Source organism: Homo sapiens, chromosome 11 (assembly GCF_000001405.40).
Source record: "Homo sapiens chromosome 11, GRCh38.p14 Primary Assembly".
Lineage (NCBI taxonomy): Eukaryota > Metazoa > Chordata > Mammalia > Primates > Hominidae > Homo > Homo sapiens.
Window position 1 is genome coordinate 128423933 of NC_000011.10, and position 23506 is coordinate 128447438.

At 39.3% G+C, this 23506-nt stretch overlaps 1 long non-coding RNA gene across 1 annotated transcript in view, besides 1 other annotated feature; it reads left to right on the plus strand.

The window, feature by feature from the left end:
* LOC124902789 (uncharacterized) overlaps nt 1-23506 on the plus strand; it is a 40983-nt gene that overhangs the window by 10785 nt on the left and 6692 nt on the right. The window lies entirely within an intron of this gene.
* Nucleotides 902-1196: an enhancer, noted in NCBI's record as "tiled region #2302; HepG2 Activating DNase matched - State 5:Enh". NCBI's record gives its function as "activates a minimal TATA promoter and a strong SV40 promoter by Sharpr-MPRA in HepG2 cells {active_cell/tissue: HepG2}" and the evidence as "EXISTENCE:reporter gene assay evidence [ECO:0000049][PMID:27701403]".

Genomic DNA, 23506 nt, shown 5'->3' on the forward strand with positions numbered 1-23506 from the left:
TAGCACAAAAGATATACCAATTACCCACCTTTGTACTGTGTCTCCCCATCACTATTCCTCCTGTGTTTAGAAAGAAACACGATCTCCATTTTATTCCATTCTCCTCTATTCAAATCACTTCCTAAGCAGCATGTCAGTGACATTTCCAATCCTGCTAGTGATTAGTGTCTGTCCAATGAAATGGTGATGAGGTTATAAAAAGTAACAAATAACTAATATTGTGTAAATACTGTGTGTGTCTATATATATATAGACACACATATATATATACATATATATACATATATATATATAGACACACACACATATATATATATATGCCGAAGGTCATTCAATGAATTTGTTACCGTCACTACATAATGGGTTGAGTGCAACGAAGAATGGCTGAGGCTGCAGCTGAGCTCAGTCTCATTCATGAGAGCCTGAGTCCTGGAGGCCCTGCCAGGAGTTGGGCCCTCCCTGTCTGCCTCCAGGCCTCAGTTTGGAGCGGTCCTCAGGTTTCTGGGTGCTTCACTTCATTTGTACTTGGCCGAAGACAGTTTCCTGTTTCTAAGAAAAGACTGCTTGGATGTCTTTTGAGGGCCTTTGGACAGCAAATCCTGCTGGCCTGGGAGGGGCCGAGGGGCAGCACCAGGGGGAAGGGAAGCCACCAGGGAGGGCTTGTTCTCATTAACCCCTTCCAGCCCGAAGGTGTCCTGGAACTCACAGAGTGAGGCGATTGCAAACGTTTGTCAGATTGGATGAAAAATGAAGACAAGTTTATGCTTGGGCCAAATATGCCTGAATTATTTGAAGAACATCTGGATTTGCTTAGCCTAAATGAAAAGATCTTACATGACAAGGACTACAGAAAGGGACCTGTGCGTCCAGCACCTTGGAGCATCCGGAGAGACCCTGCCCTTTCTCTGTCTCCCGCTACAGCTCTCTCCAACTCTGCCTTTTCCTTCCAGCTTGGAGTCCCACAAATGGCTTTTCCAGTGATATCACACGCTGTTGCCATGGAGGCAGCTGTTATGGCCAAACAAAACTGTGTGACCTTCACCCTATGGCTTGCAACCTGTGGCAGAACATGGAAGGGAGTCACTCTGTGACCACAGGCCTCAGTGGAGCTCTCTGGGTACAAATACAAATGGAACTGCTGGGACACACTGTGGTGGGAACGGAGACCCTGTGACGGAGCTGGGAAACGCTTGGGAGGGTGGAGCAGCGCAGCCTCCTGCGGCGACAAGGCCATCCAGACCCTGATGTGAACAGCAGCTGCCTCTCCTCTGCCACTGCCAGTCCAGCCCCACCCACGCTGGACTCTGCTCCCCTCTCATCCAGCTCTCTCCAAGCCTTGGTGAGCCACAATTAACAGCAATGCTGGCAGTGGCTTACACAAGCTTTTGATGGGAGAAACGCTATGCTGAAGGTTATGAAAGCAGGTTCTGGAACCCTAGCCACCTGGGTTCTAATCTGGGTTCCACGACTCAACAGCAGTGTGGCTTTACAAAAGCCACTCGGGATCCCTAAAGCCTCAGTGTCCCAATGTAAGACACGTCAGCCCTTGCAGGGTTATGATCATCCATTGAGATCATGTAGGTGGAATCCTCCTAACAGATCTTTCTGTGTTCACTCTTGCCAAAAAATGAATCTGATCATGTTGCTGCCCCATTGAAACCCTCCAACAGTTTCCCACCACCAGGAATAAGATCCTAACCATGGTCCACAAGCCACACCCGCTGGCGGCCCATAAAACTCAACTCATGGCTGGGCGGGGTGGCTCATGCCTGTAATCCCAGCACTTTGAAAGGCCAGGGCGGGCAGATCACAAGGTCAGGAGATCAAGGCCATCCTAGCTAACATGGTGAAACTCTGTCTCTACTAAAAATACAAAAAATTAGCCAGGAGTGGTGGCGCACGCCTGTAGTCTCAGCTACTCAGGAGGCTGAGGCAGGAGAATCGCTTGAACTCAGGAGGCAGAGGTTGCAGTGAACTGAGATCACGCCATTGCACTCCAGCCTGGGCGACAGAGCAAGACTCCGTCTCAAAAACAAACAAACAAACAAACAAAAACAAAAACTCAACTCATGCCCTGGTCCACTGGTGGATCTGCTCTGACCACCCACCCTGCCAGGCCCTCTCTCTGCCTTCCAGTGTGCTCTGTGCAGGAGTGTCAGCCTGCTCTTCTCTTCTCAGGGAGACCCCCACCCCCTATTGTCAAGTCTTCTGTCTCAGCACAAGTCACCTCCTCAGCAGGGAACCATGAATCTAAAGCTGCTGTGTTCCCCACCCCGGGACTCTCTAGCCCATTTTCTGTGTAGTATTCTTTTTTCCTTTCTTTCTTTTTTATTATACTTTAAGTTCTAGGGTACATGTGCACAACATGCAGGTTTCTTACATATGTATACATGTGCCATATTGGTTTGCTGCACCCATGAACTCGTCATTTACATTAGGTATTTCTCCTAATGCTATCCCTCCCCCAGCTCACCACCCCACGACAGGCCCCAGTGTGTGATGTTCCCCACCCTGTGTCCAAGCGTTCTCATTGTTGAGTTCCTACCTGTGAGTGAGAACATGCGGTGTTTGGTTTTCTGTCCTTGTGATAGTTTGCTGAGATTGATGGTTTCCAGCTTCATCCATGTCCCTGCAAAGGACATGAACTCATCATTTTTTATGGCTGCATAGTATTCTATGGTGTATATGTGCCACATTTTCTTAATTCCGTCTATCATTGATGGACATTTGGGTTGGTTCCAAGTCTTTGCTATTGTGAACAGTGCTGCAATAAACATACATGTGCATGTGTCTTTATAGTAGCATGATTTATGATCTTTGGGATCACTGGGTCAAATGGTATTTCTAGTTCTAGATCCTTGAGGAATTGCCACACTGTCTTCCACAATGGTTGAAATAATTTACACTCCCACCAACAGCATAAAAGCGTTCCTATTTCTCTACATCCTCTCAAGCGTCTGTTGTTTCCTGACTTTTTAATGATCGCCATTCTAACTGGCATGAGATGGTATCTCATTGTGGTTTTGATTTGCATTTCTCTGATGACCAGTGATGGTGAGCATTTTTTCTTGTGTCTGTTGGCTGCATAAATGTCTTCTTTTGAGAAGCATCTGTTCATATCCTTCGCCCACTTTTTGATGGGGTTGTTCGTTTTTTTCTTGTAAATTTGTTTGAGTTCATTGTAGATTCTGGATATTAGCCCTTTGTCAGATGAGTAGACTGCAAAATTTTCTCCCATTCTGTAGATTGCCTGTTCACTCTGATGGTAGTTTCTTTTGCTGTGCAGAAGTGCTTTAGTTTAATTAGATCCCATTTGTCTATTTTGGCTTTTGTCATCATTGCTTTTTGTATTAGTCATGAAGTCCTTGCCCGTGCCTATGTCCTGAATGGTATTGCCTAGGTTTTCTTCTAGGGTTTTTATGGTTTTAGGTCTAACATTTAAGTCTTTAATCCATCTTGAATTAATGTTTGTATCAGGTGTAAGGAAGGGATCCAGTTTCATCTTTCTACATATGGCTAGCCAGTTTTCCCAGCACCATTTATTAAATAAGTGCTTATTATTTGAGACAGAGTCTCGCTCTCTTGTCCAGGTTGGCGTGCAGTGGCACGATCTCCATTTCCTCACTGCAAGCTCCACTTCCCCAGTTCAAGCAATTCTCCTGCCTCAGCCTCTCGAGTAGCTGGGATTACAGGCACCCACCATCACACCGAGATAATTTTTTGTATTTTTAGTAGAGCCAGGGTTTTACTATGTTGGCCAGGCTGGTCTCAAACTCCTGACCTCAAATGATCCACCTGCCTGGGCCTCCCAAAGTGCTGGGATTACAGGTGTGAGCCACCAAACCCAGCCAATTTGCTCTGCAATATTCATTAATGTCTAAAATTATCTTAATTATTTTTGTGATTTTTTTGTCTGTCTCTCCCAGGAGTAAGTAGGTCCCAGGAGAGCAAAAATCTTGTTTCTTTCAGTTTCTAGAACAGTGTCTTGCACACAGTAGGCACCATATGTATATATATGTTTTATTAAAGTATTTAATGTGGTATCTAGTAAATATTAGCTGCTTATGTTATTAAGTAATAACAATTAACGTATATTATTATTTAAAAACATACTACTATGGTTTTTTGTTTGTTTGCTTTTTTTTTTTTAAGTTCTGGGATACATGTGCCGTACGTGCAGGTTTGTTACACAGGTATACATGTATCATGGTGGTTTGCTGCACCTATTAACCCATCCTCTAGGTTTGAAGCCCCACGTGCATTAGATATTTGGCCTAATGCTCTTGCTCCCCTTTCCCCTCACCCCCCGACAGGCCTGGTGTGTGATGTTCCCCTCCCTGTGTCCATGTGTTCTCATCGTTCAACTCCCACTTATGAGTGATAATGTGCAGTGTTTGGTTTTCTGTTCCTATGTTAGTTTGCTGAGGATGATGGTTTCCAGCTTCATCCATGTCCCTGCAAATAATATGAACTCATTCTTTTTTATGGCTGCATAATATTCCACAGTGTGTATGTGCACATTTTCTTTATCCAGTCTATCATTGATGGGCATTTGGGTTGGTTCCAAGTCTTTACAACTTTGTTTTAGTAATAATAGTCACCTCTTACATGAGAATAATTCCTTACCATTTACAGGACATTTTGAATCAAGTGAGATCATGATTCATGATATTACACTAGCCTATGAAATGGCCAGCATTATGATTTTTGCTTGGTAGATGGAGCTAGGGGAGACATGGCAGTATGCTGGACTGGAAACCAGGCCTCCAAGTGACCAGACCAGACTGGAGCTCTTTGAACCATCCATATTCTCTGCCTTCAATTCACATCATGTTTCAAACCAGGAAAAAAATATGCCCACCTCTTTAGGAGCCCCCTGGAGAATGATGGGAAATGGGGATTCCAGCCCCGTAGCAGGCTGTGGTGGGAGAGCCTGGTCATCTTCAAGCTTGAGTTCCTGACTGGTGTCATCTTGGCTGACACAGATTCCCTCCACTTCAGCTGCTTCATCTTCTGAAGATTCCTCCTCCCCGGGCCTCATTCAGTTTAAGGAGGTGGAAAAGATATGCAAATCAGACATGCTCCCAGAGAGCCCACTGTGAGCTCTGAGCCCTGAGAAAGAAAAGCTTGCCTAAAGGTCACAGCTGCAGAAAGAGGCTTTGGAGCCTACTCACCCACTCGTTTCCTTCTCCTCCCTCCAAAATGTCAACAGAGCTTTCCCCATCCACTTGGACTTACACAGCATTGGGGACAAAGGAAGAGAGGAAACCACAGATCTAAAGCCCATGTGTGGGTTGAGGGAATGGGACATCCCTCCTCCAAAGCACAGGATTTGTTAATAAGCACAGTCCAAATAAGGAGAATGGCAGGCCCTGCACAGGGATAGCTGACTATGAGCGGCCCCACTGGGCTCTCAAGGTACCATGAAGGATCCAGTTCCCCTCTGGCTGAGCTGTTTGATCCTAAGACATCCCTGTTGGTTGGCAGGGACCATTTTGTCACTGTTTTCTGTCATGCCTTGTTTTCTCATTCTTTCTGTCACATATTTCTAAGTGAGAGGGAAAGTTAAAGCCACGGAATCGCTTATCATCTCCTCCCTCTGCCTTTGGGTTTACTCAGAGAAAGTCATATCTTGACATTCCCAGGAGTATTACTATGCCTTTACCCATTTTCAGTAGTAATAATAACCAAGTTCCCTTTCCCATTTCCACCTACATCCAGCCACTGAAATGGAATTAACAAGAGTACCAGAACTACATATATTGCCAGCAGTTATTCCTGGGAAGATGGAAGAAGAAAAGTCCTAAACATCCAACTCCTGGGTACCTGCTTGCTTGAAACTCTAAACATCAGTCTTATTCGCTAGTTATGGAAGTAAAGATATGTTAGGTGATACTCTGAGAAAGCTGTGAGCTAAAAGTTGCCTTACATTGCAGAACTCTCAGTTTCCAGAGAAGCAGCAGACAACACAGATTATAGACTCTGCAGTCAACCAACCAGTCCTGTTAAGAACAAACTCAGCCACTTAGTTACGTGAATTTGGACACGTTGTTTAATCACTCCCCATACTTGCCTCAGTTTTCTCATAAGCAAAATAGGCATATTGAGAGTACATTGCTCTTAACATTGTTGTGACAATGAAATGATATAATTTATGCAGAGTGAACAACACTATGCCTGACACATAGCAAGGGCTCTACAAATGTTAGATGTTGTTGTTGTTACTATTATTCGGTATACTGGATAATACTGCCAGATTCAACATGTTTGTGCATTTCTCTCAAATTCGCGGTTGAAAGTATACAAAAAACAAAATCAAAAAAATGTCTATTTCTCTTAGCCCTGTGGTGTCTCTGGCACAACTCGTTCTAAGAAAAGTTAGAGCTAGGTATGGTGAATTGTCCCAACAACAAAGCTTTCATCAAACAAAGCAGCAGGGAGATTCTCAAGTCTCCTTTTATTATTATTATTGTACTTTAAGTTTTAGGGTACATGTGCACAACGTGCAGGTTGGTTACATATGTATACATGTGCCATGTTGGTGTGCTGCACCCATTAACTCATCATTTACATTAGGTATATCTCCTAATGCTATCCCTCCCCCCGCCCCACACCCCACGACAGGCCCCGGTGTGTGATGTTCCCCACTCTGTACCCAAGCATTCTCATTGTTCAATTCTCATGTGAGTGAGAACATGCGGTGTTTTTTAATGGGCTTTCCACCTTTGTCTGTAGCGGGGGCAATGTTATCTATTCAGTTCAGTTCAGACACACAAGTGGGCTCCCAACTTCCCTCAGGCTCCAATATTAGCCATTTTCCTCTTAGTGTGAATTCCACCAGAATATTATCATTCCCCCACTGTAGTAGTGTGGAAACACTTATACTCAGTGTCAAATGGAAATTTGGGAGCAGATGTGCAAGCACGAAGTTCTTCCAGGGAATTCTAAAAGACAAACAGGGAAGGCACTTGTATATGGGAACCTCAAGTGCTCGGTTGTCAAGTAGAGCCTCAATTCAAATCATCTCATTTGTTATTTTCATAAACCCTCAATGTTTTCTGGAAACTATATTTTCCAGGATGTTTCTCACACTTGGATGTAGCAAGGAAATCATTTTTTATATCATGTGAGTCTCAAATTTAGTCCATGAAATTGAGCAAATTCATTAATGGAAAGACCCTTGGACTGAGAATTTATTCTACTGTCACTAGAGGACTTTAATGGGCTAAGAAAGAGAAGAAATTACAGATAATATCCAAAGCCCAGCACGATACCATAAAGGCCCCTCCCAGATGAGTCCAAGACCTCCAGAAAGAACTACCAATGCCTGAAGTTCCAGTAAAAACCTCCCTCAAGAATGATCACATTCATAACAGAAAGTTATTACTACCATCATCCCTGGAGAATCTCAAAGCAAAATCTATTATCCTAATACAGCATCACTTGAATTATAAAGTCTGATGAAACCAGACTTGGAGGCTAAATGATGTACACAGAGTTGCGGCATCTATCAGGGAGCTCATCCTAGAACTTGATTGTCATAACAGGTTCATTGCAATTTTCGCTGCCTGTGGAACTTTGTGCCATAACCTGACTCTCCAACCAAATGTGAATGTAGCTTAATTAAATAGAAAGCAGCTTAAACTTAAAAGGCAATATTGGTATACAGAAGTGAAGTTTTACCATCTGTGCTGCAGAAGCTGTCTAGTAGATGACATTTCCTATTACCTGGTTCTTAGGATCTCACAGCCTCCTCTGCCTGGTGCAGCTCCCACTACAGCCAAGTCATTTAGGCATCCTCTCCCAGCCCCTGTTTCCTTTCCTGTGAAGTCTGTGGGTGGCAAGCGCAGAGCCCCGAGGCAGATATGGCATTTACGGAGACTTTATCATGGAAGCACAACAGCTTGTCCTCAGTGGAATACAGCAGGAGATCCCTCGAAGATCTGTCAGGCTTGGCCATTTAGAGGCTTGGACCCCTGACTCCTGCCAAGAGCAGTAAGGAAGCGTGGGGGCCAACACCTGTGCACATACTCTCATGCCCTCACTCTCCACTCATTGTGCAGAGCAGAAACCAGACTCAGAAGTGCTCCAGGCCAGGCTTTCTTCACCAACCTTCACCAGCCTCTGCTGGATTTGGCCGTTTGCAGTGAAAAATGAGCCTGAAAGCCCTGGAGGCTTCCTGGTGATTTACCGAGAATTTTACTTCCACATGGGCTTTCCAGCTGCAGCCAACCCCAAGAGGCAGAGGTAGGAAGAGGAAGAAAATCATAAATGGATAGTAAGATGAGAAACAGATGTTTGGAGGCTTCACTGGAAGGGAATTCTCCACCTCTACTCCCTTTCTTCATGAGATGAGAAGGCTCGGGCCCTAATGAGCAGTTTCTCACTATACCTGCAATTCATCTCCTTCCCCCACCACCAGCTCTCTCAAGTGTCACTTTTCAAGGGTCTTCCTGGTCCTGCCACATGGGCATCAACTTTGTTGGGTGATTTGTTTCTGGTTTTAGCCAAAATAAATGAATGCTAGGTGCTCTGACCATAGACACATGTTAGACAATCTCCTGCCCTCAGGGTGCTCACCAGCCGGAATGAATAAGCAGGTGCAAGCGTCTGCCCCCTGACAGAGGCAAGGACTGGACCCTGAAAACCCACAGGAGGGGCAGCAAACCCAGCCTTGGCTCAAGGAGGCACTGGAGGGTCAAAGGAAAGCTCAGCTGAGTTGTAAAGATGTTAATCAATTGAAAATGGATAGAAGTCACTTTGGAGGTATTAACCTAGCAGGCTTCAAGAGAGTTGTATATTTATTCAGTGTAACACAAGGGTTGAGAGCAACATCCCCAAAGCTAGGCTGCATGAGCTTGACACCCAGCTCTGCCACTTATTTTGGTATCACCTCAAGCAAAGTACTTCAGCTCTGTGCCTCAGTTTCCTAATTTGCAAAGGGAGGATATGAATGCTTATCCCATAGGATTGTTACAAAGAGCATGTGAAATAATACTTGTAAAGAACTTAGAATAGTATCTGGCACATAGTAAGTACTATATGTGTTTTTCAGAAAACATGAAAAATGAAAGAAGTATTTTGAGCCCACAATATATCAGGCAATATGCTAGGCCATGTGGATACTCAATTGAAAGCCATCATTACTCTTTTTGAAGAGGTCATGACCAAGTGTGATTGAATTATCAATGAATTATGATGCAACATCTTAGATGGTAAGATTAAAGATTAGAGACACCCCCTCCTTTCCACTTGTAGATGCCCAATCCTAAAATCTAGGAGCAAGCATGGGCCTTCCCAGCTCCCCTATCTCCCACATTTAGTCACTGTATCCCAGCCTCTACCTCTCCAAGATCTCCTGAGCCCCTTCCTTTTGCTCCTCTCCTGTTGTCACTGCTTGCTCGGGTCCCTTGTCAGCTCCCACATGGACTGGTGCACAACCCATCTCTAGCCCCCAGCTCTCTCTCACCCCCGCTGAGTCAGGTTCTCACTGCTGTTCACATCATATTTTTGACGCCCAAATTTTCTCATAGCATTCCTCAATTTAAGATTCTTTTGTGGTCCCCCATTGGCTATTGAAAAGTAACGGAATTCCTTAATGTGACAGATCCCTTTGTGAATCGATTCTTATTTTCCTATCCAGTCCCAGCTCTGGACACCCTCAGTGCCTCCACCCAGTGGATGTATTCTTCCGTGAAACCACTGTGCTCCTGCTGTGGACACGTTGTCTCCCATAACAGGAACAGTGTCTCTGTCCTGTCCACCAAACACTCCGACTTTTTCCCTAAGAATTTTCACATTGCTTCGTCTGTGACAACGTCTGTGATTCCTTTGGGTCCCCCTTTCTCAAGTTCCTTGTGCTCTGCACCTGTCTACATGAATGATGGGGAGGGTTGGAAGGAGCAGAACATATTAATAGCACTCTCCTTTTCTACCCAAGCTCTGCAAAAATTAAGAAATAAAAATAAAAACAAAAAACAGCATATGAGACAGGATACCAAAATATGACCCTTATTACTGATGAAGCTGATGTAACAGCGATGAGTTTACACCTAAGGGCAATTGGACAAGGGAGCTTCCTAATGATATTTCCAGATTAGGCTAACTTACACTCCCAAATGCAGGCTCAGATGAACAGGTCACCTTTCCCCACTCGGGGGCCTATACCAGTATGAGAATTATGGCATGGCCTAACAAAAACAAATATAAATCCCTCACGGGCAGGACTAATTTCTTCTTTCAAAACCCACCCATTAAACATAGTATTCCTGGGAGGGGAGCAAGCAAGGAGCAGAGAAAAGCTGGGAGTGTCACACTAATGGAGCTCCTTCCACATTAAAGGAAACACCAGGAGTAAAGAAGAAAAGTGCCAACATGTTATATAGTATTTTCATTTTTGTGTCTCTTGATGAAACTAAAAGCTATTTGTAGGCGAGAATAATGCTTTTTCATCTAATATTTTCATCCTATACAAGTCAACTACTTATACTTGACACAAAGTACGTGTTCAACCTATTTGTTAAATACTAAAGAGTGAGGAGTCAAAGTGTGATGGGTTCACATAGAAAGGAACTGCTGTACCAGTAGAAGTGGAAGAGGAGGAAAGATTTGACGAAAGCCTGCGTAGAAGAAGAGGTATTTGATCCAGATGTTGGGGAAGCAGTAGACTCTTGCCACATGACCCTTAGTACACAGAAGAAATCGACTCTTGCTACACAGAAAAGACAAAGGCAACAATAGTTGCTTAAGCCCAGAGGCATGAAATTGTACAGCAAACCCTGGGTGAAAAAATTCTGCATGAAAAAAGTATAGAATATGAGAGATGAGGCAGGAAAAGCTTGATGTACTTCTTTACCTTGGAATACTTAATAGGGATGCCTGAAAATGTAAAAGTCAAAAGAGTGACTGTCTCCTTGAGTTTCATTGTTTTCTTTGAGCTTAATTTTGGTTGTTAATGTAGTAAGAGTAATATTTTAAACTGTGGGGAAGCCTCTTCTAGACCTGTCTGCTTACCATTCCTGATCCTAATTCAACTCATATTAAGATCCTTTCACAACTGGGAACACCCAGAGTGCTAATGTCCCTCCAGCAGCATGAAACAACAGGGAGGTGAAGGCCATAAACCTTTGCAGCAGACGAGTCACAAGCTACGTGTCCATGTGAAGAAAATGTGGGTCTGCAAAGGCTGCTGGTCGCTGGTGGTGTGATTTTCTGTCTAAACCAAAGACAGGAAGATAGAATGATGTATCCTTTTCCATTTGTATTATTTTCACTTTCAAAAAAAATTATCTTGTTATTTTTTAAAAATATTGTTATCATTTTTATTATTTTTTCATCAAATAATTATATAAAAATTTCCAGCATAAAATTAAGCTTTATTTACTCAGGAAATCTATATTTGAACTGAAAGCTCATCAAAAAGATACTGAATATTTCCCAAATTCTGGTAACTGATAACATTTGAATTTCTTTCTCTGATGTTTCAATGATTCAGCTAATGGCCTCCTATGGAGTTTTCCTCTCAGACCCTCTGTTTTGGAAACAACACATCCCACCTATAGGGACCAACAGCCATTCATATTTCTGCTATGTGACCCTCACCCTTGGCCATACCTAACTGATCTAGAAATAGGTACATGACCCACTCAGAGAATTTGGAATTGGGGCTAAAAGAGTCAGTTATCGAATATGACTCAAATGTAAAATCTAAACTTGGGATCTGAGGATCTAACATTTGTTGCTTGCCTGTAGACTGAATTACAGAGAGAGGTGGCAGGCAAAAAAGAAACAAAGACACCCGGCCGGGCACGGTGGCTCACGCCTGTAATCCCAGCACTTTGGGAGACCGAGGCGGGCAGATCACGAGGTCAGGAGATGGAGACCATCCTGGCTAACACGGTGAAACCCCATCTCTACTAAAAATACAAAAACTTAGCCGGGCGTGGTGGCGGGCACCTGTAGTCCCAGCTACTCGGGAGGCTGAGGCAGGAGAATGCTGTGAACCCGGGAGGCAGAGCTTGCAGTGAGCCAAGATCGCACCACTGCACTCCAGCCTGGGCGACAGAGCAAGACTCCATTTCAAAAAAATAAAAATAAAGAAAAAAAAAGAAACAAAGACACCTATGTATATGACCAAAAAATCTTGGTAAGAGATTGGATATAGCCAAGGAGGGAAAAGGAGAAGTCGAAGTCGATGTCTCAGTTTCTGACCATAAATATTAAAAGAATGTGTTATTAATGACATAAGAGAAGAGCAGTTAGATTTTGAAGATCATTATTACAAAAGTGCTAAATGAAATTATGAGAGCTGGTAAACCTCTTGGGAGAGTGGCTGGGGCTGAGGGATGAGCCTAGCTCCTTTGAGGCTGCCCAAAAGTAGGGGCAAAAGGGAAGGAGATGTTAAGAAAGGAGTTTAGGCAGGAGTTTAAGATGTAGAAGAGATGTTTTGCCTTAGGAAAAAGACATAACATTAGATTCTCCCTCTCTAATATATTATTTACCTTCATTGATGATTACAGTTGAAAGACTTGAATGTAATAGAGCAGACTGGAGAGATGTTATAGAACAGACTGGAGAGATGTTATAGAACAGACTGGAGAGATGTTATTTTTATTTAGAAACAGCTGCTCACATATACCATTAGTAGAAATATAAAGATAAATCATTTTGGAGAGAAATCTGGGAATATACATTAAAAGTGTGGCTCATGCCTGTAATCCCAGTACTTTGGGAGGCCGAGGTGAGTGGATCATAAAGTCAGGAGTTCAAGACCAGCTTGGCCAAGATGGTGAAACCCCGTCTCTACTAAAAATACAAAAAAAAAAATTAACTGGATGTGGTGGTGGGCGCCTGTAATCCCAGCTACTCCAGAGGCTGAAGCAGGAGAATCACTTGAACCCAGGAGGTGGAGGTTGCAGTGAGCCGAGATCATGCCACTGCACTCCAGCCTGGGCAACAGAGGGAGAGTCTGTCTCAAAAAAAAAAAAAAGAAGAAAGAAAGAAGAAAGAAAGAAAGAAAGAAAGAAAGAAAGAAAGAAAGAAAGAAAGAAAGAAAGAAAGAAAGAGAAAGAAAGAAGAAAGAAAGAAAGAAAGAAAGAAAGAAAGAAAGAAAGAAAGAAAGAAAAGAAAAAAGAAAAGAAAAGAAAAGAAAAAAAAAGTATTATGTGCATGGACTTTGACCCAGTAGAGTGGAAACAGAGTTGCTTGCCAGGCACTCTGTTCTGGACCCTGTCTGCCCACCCTCAAGAGAAGCCCCCAGTGATGGGTGTCTTTCCCCACAGCCACAGCTACATAGGCAGGAGTAAGCACTGAGCCCCGTCCTCTGGATTTTTAAATTGTAACAGAGAAAGAGAGAGATTTGGCCTCTTGTTATGTAGCTGGACCGATGATGCATAAATTCTGGAATTGCTGCAAGGTCATGCTTCCTATCATGTGGAACAAGAAAAACAGTGGAAACTTGCCTACCAAGAGAGAGAAGAATGCCACAGATGCACAGACAGGAGAAACAAGAGATGGAGAGGAAGTTCTGACAGTTTTTCAGTTCCTGGCTCTGGAACCTGCACAGTTCCAGCTGCCTTCCTGACAATCACAGAGGCCCATCACTCACCTCTGAATCTAGAAATTTTTTTTTTTTCCCAAGGAGAGCTCAAGATGCTTCCTATTACTTGCAACTAAATGAGTCTCAACAGTAATTCCATTCCTAAGAGTTTTAGCCTTAAGAAACAGTTTCAGACACACAGTTGCATATGTAAAGATAAATACCATAGTATTGCATGTAATTTTGATAAAATGATCGATTTGGATATTAATGTGACTCTTGTCAAACAAACCATCTTAATAGTAGAAACATATTAATATCATTAATTAATGCTTAAGCCTTACTTCATATTCATTTTGTCTCAGGGGTTGGATTTTGTGCTTCACATACATCTATTTTAATCCTCACAGCAGCCCTAGAAGATGGGTACTATTACCTTAAGATAAACATGTAAAGTGTTTAGCATATTGTTTTGCATATAGCAGGACTTGCAAAATAGCTAACTACTATTATTCCAATTTCTACAGATGAGAAAATTAGAACTTTTTTAGCTTTATAGCCAGAAATTCCAAAGGTGCTCAGATAAATGTAGTGGGAAAATGTAATGATGTGTGGGAAAGTGAGACAGGCAGAGCACCTAAAAGGTACCCCCTCCTACCTATTGATCTTGACAGCAAGTATCAGATGGCTGTACTTAGATTGAGTGTTAGAGGCTAATACAGTAATTCAAGATGTGTAAAAGTCAACAAAAAGAATTAGTTATCAAACAAGTTACATTCAAGGTATGGAATGAACTATACACAAACGGTCAACAGACATGCAAACACACATGCACTTTTCTACCAATAACAGCAGATATAGCCACACGTTGGGCAGTTAATACCAAGTTTTGCTTGTTGGCTAAGGGAACTTTCAGTATCCTAATTCTGATTCCATTTTTTTTTTCACTGCCACTAAGCTTCTTCTGTGTCTCATAATGATCATCACTAATGCTTGTCAAGATGGTCATTTCTTTGAATAAGGCCGTACTAACTGCAAAAACTTTTTGGCAAGTGCTCAAAACGAAGACTGATTTTTCTATTCTTATAAGCCACTACAGAAATATGAGCAAGTTCTAGAAAGGTAACTCTTCTCTGAGAACTCTTGAGTATGCCCACTGTGATTGCTTGTTTCTTTTATTAATGCTGCAACTCAGAGCTGGAGGTTTTTAGTTTTGGGTGAATATGTTATACTGAGTTAGACCGTAGGATCTTCCTTATTTCACCAAATATCATCACTTAATGGTTATTTCCCATGACTTGTTATGAAAAAAATCTACACTGCCACCAGAAGCTGGATTTTTAAAACATCAAACTGGCTACATCCCTGGAATTTTGTGTTTACTATTTTATGTACACTTATGTGTAAGATACAAAAGTATCTTCAAATTCATGAAATAACATGCAAATAGTAGGTATTAACATATCACATGCTACATACTCCATTATTGTATTCTTGGCACAACAAAAATATTTGTCCATCTTTGCACTAAATCTGTTCGTGTTCTTACATTTGTAAGTATAAGAGACTAATTTTTAATCAGTGCTTTTAATCTATTTGGTAGTATTTTGAGTAAAAGTCAGAGGATGAAGGGAGTTCAAAAGGCCACTGGGAGTGCACTTCATTTTTCATCATACAAATGATATCCAAAAATTATCAATGGCCCTAGACATTGCAATAAAGGCCAAAAAATGAAAAAGAAGATGTAATAATTGAAAAGGAAGAAGCAAACATGTTCCTGTTTGTGGATGATATGACTTTTTATGTCAGTAAAAGCGGAGGAATTTTAAAACTAATGAATAAATTTAGCATGATTGTAGGATATAGGGTTAACATACAAAAATCAATGTTATTCTTATACAATAACAGCAAACAATAGAAAGTATATATTTTTAAATTACATTTACAGTGTTGCCAGAAGATATGTCTAATAATAAATCTAACAAAAGATTCCCAGGAGCTCTACACTGAAAAGACTAAAATGTTCCTGAGAGAAATTAAAGACTAAAATACATAGTAAGGTGTACCACACTTATAGATAGGAAGACCAAATGTTGTTAAAATTGAAATTCTTTGCAAAGTGATCTATAGGTTAAATGTAATATCAATCAAAATTTTATCAGGCTCCTTTGTAGAAATGGACAAGTGGATTCTAAAGTTTGTATGGAAATGCAGAGGGTCAAATCAATTTTCATTAAAACAAAAGAAAATACATACACACAAAGTTGGAGGATTTACCCTACTGAATACAAAAGTTTACTATAAAATGACATTACCCAAGATAGTTTGGAATTGGTGAACAAAATAGACAGATCAGTCAGAGGACTATATAGACATATAGATCAGAAGAGCATAAAAGCTTCAGAAATAGACTAATGCATATTTATTCAATTGATTTTTGAAAAACATAATAAAATCTTTTCAACAAATGGTAGTAAACCAATTAAATATCTGCATGCAAAAAATTAAATTTGATCTGTACTCAACCATACACAAAAATTAATTCAAATGAATCATAGACCTAAATGTAAAACCTAACTCTTTTGTAAGTAAACATAGTAAAACTTTTATAAGTAAACATAGTAGAAAAAATTTGCATTAAGCAAGATATTTCTAGATATAATACCAAAAACCTGAACCACAGAAGAGAAAACTAATAAATTGAACTTCATTAAAATGAAAAGAAATTTGTTCTTCAAAAGATACCATTAAGAAAATTAAAAGGCAAGTCACAGACTGTGAGAACATATTTATGCACATATATTTGACAAAAATAAAATAAAAATATATTCAAAAATATATCAAGGAGAAGACAATGGCAAAAGGTTGGAACACTATACAGAAGATATAAGAATCTCCAATCAGCATATGAAAAAGTGCCAAACATCATTGTAATTAGGAAAATGCAACTTAAAACCACAATGATATCATATTCATTACAAGATCTAAATGTAAAAATGTTGACCATGTCAAGTGTTGACCAGGATGAAGAGCAACTGGAACTCTTGAACATTGCTAGTGAGAATGTAACATGGTACTACTACCATGGAAAATGGCATACAAGTTTCTAAAAATTTGAACGTATATTCTAAAAAACTGTATAACCACAATTTAATCATAAGAAAAATATCAGACAAATCTCAATTGAGAAACATTCTACAAAATATCTAATCAGTACCCCTCAAAATAGTCAAGGGGATCAAAAACAAGAAGAGTCTGAGAAATTATCACAGCCAAAAGGAGCTAGAGACACATGTAATGAAGAATCCTGGATTGGACTCTAGAACAGAAAGAAGATACTGAGTAAAAACTAAGGATATCAGTTGCGTATGGATTTCAGTGAATAATAATGTATCAAGATTGGTTCGTTACTTGTGAAAAACGTACCATTCTCATGTAATACCTTCACAGCAAGAAAAACTGGCTGTGGGAGTATATGTACTAACTTTCAATTTTTTTGTAAACTCAAATTTATTCTAAAATGAAAAATTAATGTCACAAGAAAAATTAAACACACATCATCAAGCAATTCCACTAAGTATTTATCCAAGAGAAACAAACACATGTCTGTGCTGAGACTTTTACGTGATTGTTCATAGCCAAAAATTGAAAACAATTCAAATATATATCAACAGATAAATGTGTTGGGAGGGGCGGGGGGTATCTATTCTTGGTAATAAAAAGGAACAAATCATTTATAAAGGCACTTAATGAATCTCTAAATTATTATGCTCAGGAAAAGAAGCCAGACAAAAAAGAATAAATCGTGTATTATTTCACTTATACAAAATTCTAGAAAATGAAAACTCATTGATATGGTTTGATTTTGTGTCCCTACTCAAGTCTCATGTTGAATTGTAATCCCCAATGTTAGGGGAGGAACCTGGTGGGACGACATGGATCATGAAGGTGGATTTCCCCCTTGCTTTTCTCATGATAGTGAGTGAGTTCTCACAAGATCTGATGGTTTAAAAATGTGTGGCACTTCCTCCTTTGCTGTCTCTCTCTCTTACTCTCTCTCTCTCTCTCTCTCTCTTCTGCTCCTGCCACCACGTGAAGAAGGTGCTTGCTTCCACTTCACCTTCTATTGTGATTGTAAGTTTCCTGAGGCCTCCCAGTCTGCTGTACAGGTTGTTTCCTGTACAGCCTGCGGAACTGTGAATCAATTAAACCTCTTTTCTTCATAAATTACCCAGTCTCAAGTAGTTCTTTATAGCAGTGCAAAAACAGACTAATACACCAATCTATGGTGACAGAATTCAGATCAGTTGTCTGAGGACAGGAGATGGAGATGGGGGGCTGTGTGGGAGGAAGGGATTACACAAGGCTAGAGGGAACTTTGGGTGATGTGTTCATTAGCGTTAATGCGGTAATAGTTTCACAGTGTACAATAAGTTAAACCCTATCAAATTATGCGTTTTAATTTGCACAGCTTATGATGTATCAATTATACCGCAGTGAAACTATTTAAATTTTATTTAAAAGAAGGAAAAGGAAGAACAGATATTTAGATGCCAAGAAATGACATGAAAATATTTATATGTACTTATGTAAGTAATAGTTACTCTTAATGTGTCGATTAATTTGGTCTTTAATGTTAAGAGATAAAGTGAAATACAGAATTAAGTGGGATTAGTTAGAAACCATTTTAGAGAAAACAAGAAACAGTGCTCACCATTGTAAACCAAGAATCTGGTAAGATCCATCATCTGTAAACAATTTACTCCGAGAAATTATTTTTTCCTTGTAGTGGTTATGGGTTTCCCTGAGCCATTCACACTCTAACCCAATGACCTTAAATTTTAGGAAAATAGAGGTGCATTTTGTTGCTACTGGGAATAGAAAAGCTAACTGGGCTATGAATGACTTGAGCTTGTGGTCTTGGCCTCATTAACACTGGACAACAACCAACTGAGCTAATCAGCCACTGCTGACATTACAGAGAAACTTTATTGAGGTATAATTAAAGTACATTAAACCATACATGTATAAAATGTACAATTTGATCAGCTTTTGAATACGTATATACTCATGAAACCATCACCACAATCAAAATAACAAACATTTAATCAACTCCAGAAGTTTCTTTGTGTCCCTTTATAATCCATTATTCCTGCACCTCCATCCTCAGCAACTGCTGATCTGTTTTCTCTCAGGACAGAATAATTTGCTTTTTTCTAGAATTTTATATAACTGCAATAATACAGTTTGTACTATTTGGCTTGTTATATTTTAATATCTTTAGAAACTAGATATGCCCCCTCTCTCATTTTTGATATTGGTAGTTTGTCTTTTCTCTTTTTGTGCTAATAAGTCTAGCTAGAAGATTATTGATCTTTATGAGTTTTGCAAGGAACCATCTCCTGATTTCATTGATTTTTTTTCAATTGTTTTTCTGTTTTCCAGTGCATTTATTTTGGCTCTGATCATTTCATGTCTTTTCCTTTCTTTGGGTTTTATTTGCTTTTATTCTTCTAGTTTCTTAAGGCAGAAGCTGAGTTCATTGATTTGAAGATGTTTTTCTTTTTTAATATGAAACCTTTTTGTTCTATAAATGTTCCCCTAAGTGCTGCCTGAGCTACATCTCACATATTTTTTGTATTTTGTTTTCATTTTCATCGAGTTCCAAATACTTTCCAGTTTCTCTTTTGATTTTGTCAATGATCCATGAGTTATTTTAAATATTATCTTGAGACTACTTGGGATATCCCAGATATCTTTCTGATACACTCATTTCTGATTTAATTCAATTGTGGTTACTGTAGGACAGATTTTCTATTACTTGACTCCTTTTAAATTTACTGGGATTTGTTTTCTCATTCAACATATGGTCTCTCTTGGGAAATGTTTCATTAATACTTAAATAAAAAGTATATTCGGTGGTTGTTGTTGTTGGGTGCAATGTTCCGTAATTGTCAGTTAGGTCAATTTAGTTAATAGTGTTATTCAAATCTTCTAAATACTTATGGACTTTCTGTCTATATGTTCTATCAATTACTGAAATCTCTGACTATAACTGTGAATATGTTTGTTTTTCCTTAAGTTTTGCTCCATGTATTTTGATGCTCAGTTATTATATGTGTAAATATTTAGGATTGTTATATCATCTTGATGAGGCGACTACTTTATCATTATTAAATGGCCCTCTTTATCCCTGGTAATCTTTGCTTTAAAACCTACTTTTTAATATGAATATAGCCTCATTAGCTTTATTTTGATGAGTATTAACATTGTATATAACTTTTCATCTTTTTATTTTAATATGTTTGTATATTTAAAGTGCATTCCTTATAGGTAACATATAGTTGAGTCTTTCTTTTTATCCAATATGACACCTCTGACTTGACTTTGAAGTGTTTAAACTTTTTGTATTTAATGTGAATATGTATATGATCGGTTTTAAATTTACCAGCTGGCTAGTTTTTTCTGTTTATTCCATCTATTATTCTTTGTTCCCTTTTTCCTCTATGCTTTCTTTTGGGTTAATTATACTTTTAAAAATATTTCGTATATCCTTTGTTGTATTATTTTAGTGGTTGATATAGTGTCATTGATTACGTCTTTAACTTATCACAGTTATCTTTCAAGTAACATTATACCACTTTGTACATGCGTATTAGAAAACCTTGCAACAATGTACTTCCATTCTCTGTCTCCTGAATTTTATACTACTGTTGTCGTCATACATATTATTTTTATTTCTACATATGTAATAAGACCTATATTACATTGTTTCTGTGTTTGCTTTAAAAAACCAAGTTTTCAATGAAATGTTTAAAATGAGAAAATATATTTGTCTACATAATTTTTTTTCAAGGCTCTTAATTCTATCCAGTATATCAGACTTCTATCTGGTATCATTTTTCTTCTGCTTGAAAGATGTCTTTTATCAGGGATGCCCTCTCTTACCACTCCTATTCAACATAGTGTTGGAAGTTCTGGCCAGGGCAATCAGGCAAGAGAAAGAAATAATGGGTATTCAATTAAGAAAAGAGGAAGTCAGATTGGCCCTGTTTGCAGATGGCATGATTGTATATTTAGAAAACCCCATCATCTCAGCCCAAAATCTCCATAAGCTAATCAGTAACTTCAGCAAAGTCTCAGGATACAAAATCAATGTGCAAAAATCACAAGCATTCCTATACACCAATAACAGAAAAACAGAGATCCAAATCATGAGTGAACTCCCATTTACAATTGCTACAAAGAGATTAAAATACCTAGGAATCCAACTTACAAGGGATGTGAAGGACATCTTCAAGGAGAACTACAAACCACTGCGCAACGAAATAAAAAAGGACATAAACAAATGGAAGAACAATCCATGCTCATGGATAGGAAGAATCAATATCGTGAAAATGGCCATACTGCCCAAGGTAAATTTATAGATTCAATGCCACCCCACCAAGCTACCAATGACTTTCTTCACAGAATTGGAAAAAACTACTTTAAATTTCATATGGAACAAAGAAAAACCTGCATTGCCAAGTCAATCCTAAGCAAAAAAAAAAAAAAAGCTGGAGGCATCACGCTACCTGACTTCAAACTATACTACAAGGCTACAGTAACCAGAACAGCATGGTACTGGTACAAAAACAGAGATATAGACCAATGGAACAGAACATAGGTCTCAGGTATAACACCACACATCTACAACCATCTGATCTTTGACAAACCTGACAAAAACAAGAAATGGGGAAAGGATTCCCTTTTTAATAAATAGTTCTGGGAAAACTGGCTAGCCATATGTAGAAAGATGAAACTGGATCCCTTCCTTACACCTTATACAAAAATTAATTCAAGATGGATTAAAGGCTTAAATGTTAGACCTAAAACCATAAAAACCCTAGAAGAAAACCTAGGCAATACCATTCAGGACATAGGCACGGGCAAGGACTTCATGACTAAAACACCAAAAGCAATGGCAACAAAAGCCAAAATAGACAAATGGGATCTAATTAAACTAAAGCACTTCTGCACAGCAAAAGAAACTACCATCAGAGTGAACAGGCAACCTACCGAATGGGAGGAAAATGTGGCAATCTACCCACCTGACAAAGGGCTAATATCCAGAATCTACAAAGAACTTAAACAAATTTACAAGAAAAAACAACCCCATCAAAAAGTGGGCAAAGGAAATGAACAAACACTTCTCAAAAGAAGACATTTATGCAGCCAACAGACACATGAAAAAATGCTCATCATCACCGGTCATCAGAGAAATGCAAATCAAAACCACAATGAGATACCATCTCACGCCAGTTAGAATGGTGATCATTAAAAAGTCAGGAAACAACAGATGCTGGAGAGGATGTAGAGAAATAGAAACACTTTTACACTGTTGGTGGGAGTTTAAACTAGTTCAACCATTGTGGAAGACAGTGTGGCAATTCCTCAAGGATCTAGAACTAGAAATACCATTTGACCCAGTGATCCCATTACTGGGTATATACCCAAAGATCATAAATCATGCTACTATAAAGACACATGCACACGTATGTTTATTGCAACACTGTTCACAATAGCAAAGACTTGCATCCAACCCAAATGTCCATCAATGATAGACTGAATTAAGAAAATGTGGCACATACACACCATGGAATACTATGCAGCCATAAAAAAGGATGAGTTCATGTCCTATGTAGGGACATGGATGAAGCTGGAAACCATCAATCTCAGCAAACTATCACAAGGACAGAAAACCAAACACTGCATGTTCTCATTCCTAGGTGGGAACTGAACAATGAGAACACTTGGACACAGGGCAGGGAACATCACACATGGGGGCCTGTCATGGGGTGGGGGCCAGGGGGAGGGATAGCATTAGGAGAAATACCTAATGTAAATGACGAGTTAATGGGTGCAGCAAACCAGCATGGCACATGTATACCTATGTAAGAAACCTGCATGTTGTGCACATGTACCCTAGAACTTAAAGTATAATAAAAATAAAAACAAATAAAAAAGTAAAAAAAAAAAAAAAAAAAGAAAAAGGTTCTCCAAAAAAACATGGGACCATGCAAAAAAAAAAAAAAAAAAAAAGAAAGAAAGAAAGAAAGAAAAAAAAAGATGTCTTTTATAATCTTTTTGTATATTTCTGCTGGTGATAAAAGCTTTTAATATTTTGTGTCAGAAAAAGTCTTTGTTTCAAAAGATTATTTTCCCTTGGTATAGAACTCTAGGTTGCCTGTTTTTTTACTTTCACTGCTTTAAAGATGTTATGCACTGTTTTCCTCCTTGAATTGTTTTTGACAAGGAATCTGTTATTTTTTCTTTTGATCTTCTGTATGTAAAATATCTTATCTTTCAAGACATTTAAGAGTTCTTTTAAGAGTTCTTTTTTATCACTGGCTTTAAGCAACTTGATGTACTTAGCATATTTTTTTTCATGTTTCTTGTGCTTGGGGTTTGTGGGGCTTCTTAGATCAGTGAGTTTATAGTTTCAATCAAATTCTGAATAGTTTCAGCCATTAATAATGCTTCCATTTTTTTTTTTTTCTATCACACACCCTGCCTCTCTGGGGACTCCAACTGGATGTTTATTCAGAGACTTAAAGCTGTCCCACAGCTCACTGGCACTCTGCTCATTTTTCTTTGCACCCTTTATTTTATATGTGCTTTATTATGGGTCGTTTCTATGCTGGGACTTCACAGTGTTGAATCTGCCATTAATCCCACCCAATGTATCTTTCATGTCATATGTTATATAGCTCTCAACTGCAGAATTTTGACTTAGGTCTTTTGTATCGCATTTGGCATGTTTGGTCTTTTCTCTAGCTTCTTCAACATGTGAAATTGTTACTCTCTTTTAATGTCCTTGGGTACTAATTCTATCGTCTGTGTCATTTCTTGGAAATTTTCAACTGGCTGATTTTTTTCTTCATTATGGGTCATATTTTCCTGCTTCTTAGTATGCCTGGTAATTCTTTA